This window comes from Homo sapiens, chromosome 13 (assembly GCF_000001405.40).
Source record: "Homo sapiens chromosome 13, GRCh38.p14 Primary Assembly".
In the NCBI taxonomy this organism is placed as follows: Eukaryota; Metazoa; Chordata; class Mammalia; order Primates; family Hominidae; genus Homo; species Homo sapiens.
Window position 1 is genome coordinate 34,173,858 of NC_000013.11, and position 4,285 is coordinate 34,178,142.

The following is a 4,285-nucleotide window of genomic DNA, read 5'->3' on the forward strand; positions in this document are numbered from 1 at the left end:
ACCATCATATTATTGTTGTGGCCATTTACATTGCTCTGAAAGTTTCACTGTTGTAGCAGCCTCATCTTTTCAACATAAATTCATTCATAGATAGATAGAAAAAATCCTGCTGTCTTTAACATTTTTTGCACATATCTTTTTTTATAGCTCTAATTTTTTAAAAGATGATCTTTTAGAAGGATAATCACTGGATAATAATCACTGGATAAGAAGATATAAATTTTCGTGTTCTACTTGATAAATTCTGGGCTAACTACTTTTCAGAAACGTGAACTCCCACAAGTACCATTTCCTTCTTCACTATGCCCTTGCCAGTACTGAGTGTTACCTTGTAACAATCTTTGTCAATTTAATAAATGAAAAATTTGATTTTACTTCAATGCGAATTGAGCAACAATTCACATTTCACAAGTGATAAGTTACACACATTTAAAAAGGTTTGGGATCTTTTCTAACCTATCTATTATAACCAGGAGGTCACTTCTGAGTTGCTGACCTTTATCTGGTCTTCATGTTCCATTAAATACTCTGATTTAAAGCCTCAGGTCACTTTCAGTCTTAATTGTATTTTATTATTCTCCATTGTTGCAGAATGTTTCAGTCAATTTAGCCAGAAGGGTCTCTCTTCACCTTTTCTTCACTGGTTCATTTCCAGTTATAACAATGACAGATTCCCTGAGATGTTATATTAATTTTATTATCATCACAATAACTATTATTACTCAAATGAAAGTAAGAATCAGAATGTGATTTTAGGCTTAGAGGAAAGCATATTTTTGTTGTTCACTGAGGAGGTATAAATTCTTTTTACTATTAAGCAAGCCGTGGTTATGCAGAGGCTAAATGTCAGATATTCTCAGATTTAGCAACAACTGTTTGCATTCCACATAATGTCAGAGAGCATGTAGAAGATAATAAAACATCAGCTTAAACATTTACTGAGGAAGTTTCTCTTGCACTATGTTAAGTTAAGCAAAAGATGGGTTGCCCAGCGCCTATTTCTTCATCACCACCCTTCTTCAGGAAGAGAAATGGGTCCTCAGTGCCCAGTTTTTCCTTTTGTTTATTTAGTGGGACCCTGGTTTCTGAGATGGATATGTAGCATCTTCATGTTCTCTTTCCCTCTATCAAAATTGACTACTGGCCAAGTTTCCAAAAATTGCTTCATGTTAAAAGGTTGGTTTCATCATTGTTACTTGTATTTTTGAATGGTAGGAGCACTTCTTGGTTAACCAAGAGCAAACACAGCCTTCAGTAAATATTTAGCCATAGCCAACTTGACTTTCATTCACTATTAAACCCATAAACCAAAGGAATGAATAATAAATTTATGGTTATTAGAGTTTTTCGCAGGAGAAGCTTTTATCTCTCCTGTAGCACCACAGGTGACTCCACCTGTAACAGTAGGTCCCATAGAACATTGCATATTTGCCAAACACTGTACATATCCTATTTAACCATCACAACAACCTTCATTTCACAAATGAGGAAACTAAAGAAACTAGAGTTTAGTTCCCAGGTAGTGGTAGAGCAGAGATCTGAACCCACGTCTGACTGACTCACTCCGAAGGGCATGTTCTTAAATATTACACTCTTTGGATGCTTTCAGCTGTATAGTACTTGAAAGGGTCCTACATGCTCTTCTACCTGTGTTCTTGCCATGATCCTTTTAAGAGGTAGAATATGTTCCCTTTCTTCTTAGTTCTGAGTGGTCCTTGTGATTATTTTGATGAATAAAATGTGGCAAAAGTGATGCTGTGTAACTTTCGAGGATGATCCTTAAGAAATTTCCAGCTTCTGTTTTGGCTTCTTGCTCCACTCTTTCTGGACCTCAGCTGCTATAACATCAGAAGGTCCATATGGAGAATAACAAAGACACCTCTCCCCACCCCCACAATAGCCAGCAGCCACAGCTGAGCTCCCAGAAGGAGGCCAGCACCCAGGACCAGGCACATAATTTGTCAAGTCCAGTGCAAAAGAAAAACTCATACCCCAACCAGGGGCAGGGAAGTCAGTCTCGCTTTCCTTAGGTCCAATGCTTCTGTGCCTGGGCTGGCTCAGGAGCTGACTGGCTGTGGTCACAAGAAATCTGCCAAACATGCCATGATGTCGCCAGCCCACATGGGACCAAAGACCCCTTGCCATACCCCAAGATACTGAATGTCCCAATATGCTGTGAAGCCCTGACCTTGATCTTCCCCACATCTGCTCCCAGGTTCCTGTCAGGGGGCGTTGGCAGCAGCAGAACCCTGGCCTTCCACCCACCAATGTAACAGGGCAGAGAGCAGCAGTGGTCATGGGGCAGGTGTGGGGAGGGGAAGCCACTTGGGACCCAAGGAGTCAGACAGCAGGAGAGTGCAGCCAGGAAGCTATCCTGGGGCAATGGGCTCCGAGCCACCAACATCTGCTCCATTGTCACCTCATTATTCACCTACCAAATACAAACTTAAGGATGAAATTTATTAAGAATTTCAAGATGGCAACTGTGTGAATGAGGGCATTTTGATCCTGTGACTGTCCCAGAGCCCCAGCAGAAAAACCACCCCATCACCCCCTAGAGCCACGAGAAATACAAAAACAGTTGGTGCTTTGAGCTGTTAAGTGTCGGGTTTGTTTATTACAAGGCGCTTGATAACCATAAAGTTTTGCTATCATCTTTCTGTGGACTAGTATCGAACATTTTGAAATCAAGTAATAAGAGGAAAATTGGAAAAGTGAAATGCAAAGACACTTAAAAAACAGAAGGCCCCTGGGGAGGTGAAGAAATTCAGGGAAAGCTTCCCATAGGAGGAGAACCTTCAGACAGACTTTGAAATAAGCACAGTATGTGGACCGGTAGACAACGGCAGACTCACTTGGCTGTCCACTACATGCCAGACAGGCAGCAAGCATGCACATTAATGCACAAAAAATCCAACTCCTGGATTAAAAGCCTGAACCACCCAGCTTCACCCACATTATACCTTGCTCCTCGCTTCTCGCCATCTCATGACCCAGCCTGCATTTTTGCCTCTGGCTAAGTCCTTTCAGTCTGATGCAGAAATCGAATTGTGTCAGCCTCTGATCTTATTTTAGCTTGCTGGTTGCATGTTTTTCTTTTCTCTGCAGCTCAGAGATGCTAAATCTCCAGGATCCTTCTCTCCCAGGGTTGTGTGTTATCTTTAGGAACCTCTGTCCTAGTCCTTCCTGTTCAACGCACAAATTTGAAGCTTATTTGAATGTAAAACCAACTTGTAGGATTTACACAAACACCATTTCCCACTCTTGTTTGTCCATGAAGCCCTCCTTTCCCAGATCATATTTTAGCTTCTCACATTACCATTCAAGTAATGCTACCTTAGGCTAAATTCCTACAAGTTGATTTATAGCAGCTATCTCTTTAACAAGCTCCTCAGATGATTCTGATGTGCACCAAAGTTTGGGAAACACTGTATTAGACATACATAAAATTGAAGTTATAATAGTCCTTCGTAACTTTTGATCAGTCTCACTCACTCCTTCTTTAAGGCTCAAATATAAAACCCCTCAAAACTCCATAACCTTTCATAATTACAACTGAATTTATTAGCTGTTTGACAGTTATTATACTTTAAATCTGAGGCATATAACCTTTGCCAAAGCATTTATTATTTTAGATTCTTATGTCCTCTACCTCTGGATGGTGTTAGGATTCAGGAAACCTGAATTCATTTAACACTATTCAACTGAGTAGTTTAGCCTTTTTAGTGGCATGTAATTTAACATTCTATGTAGATAATCTGGTATAGGGGATTTTGAAATCATACCGACCTGAGTTTTGTTTTTTAAGGCTGGATCTCACTCTGTTGCCCAGGCTGGAATGCAGTGGTGTGATCACGGCTCACTGCAGCCTCAAACTCCTGGGCTCAAGCAATTCTCCCATTTCAGCTTCTCAAGCAGCTAGGACTTTGGGCACACAGCACCACACCCAAGTAATTTAACAATTTTTTTTAGAGACCAGGTCTCACTATGTTGCCCAGGCTGGTCTCGAACTGCTGAGCTCAAGATATCCTCCCACATCGGCCCCCTAAAGTGCTGGGATTACAGGTGTGAGCCACCATGCCTGGACCCAACTTAGACTTTAAATCTTGTTTGCAACATCTACCATCTATGTGACATTGGGCAAATAATTTAATATTTCTGGACCTCAGAGTTCTTTGTAATATTTACTTTATAGGCCAGTTTTGAAAATTAAAAAGGATTCAATATATAGCTAGTAAAAACAGTGGTACCTCAGTGAATATAGTTTGCTCTCTTCTCAGATACC

General features: G+C 40.6%; 2 annotated features.

Moving 5' to 3' along the window:
* Positions 1,747–2,248: an enhancer, noted in NCBI's record as "H3K4me1 hESC enhancer chr13:34749741-34750242 (GRCh37/hg19 assembly coordinates)". NCBI's record gives its function as "activates a minimal SCP1, AML or CMV promoter by ChIP-STARR-seq in primed H9 embryonic stem cells {active_cell/tissue: H9 hESC(primed)}" and the evidence as "EXISTENCE:reporter gene assay evidence [ECO:0000049][PMID:30033119]".
* Positions 2,249–2,748: an enhancer, noted in NCBI's record as "H3K4me1 hESC enhancer chr13:34750243-34750742 (GRCh37/hg19 assembly coordinates)". NCBI's record gives its function as "activates a minimal SCP1, AML or CMV promoter by ChIP-STARR-seq in primed H9 embryonic stem cells {active_cell/tissue: H9 hESC(primed)}" and the evidence as "EXISTENCE:reporter gene assay evidence [ECO:0000049][PMID:30033119]".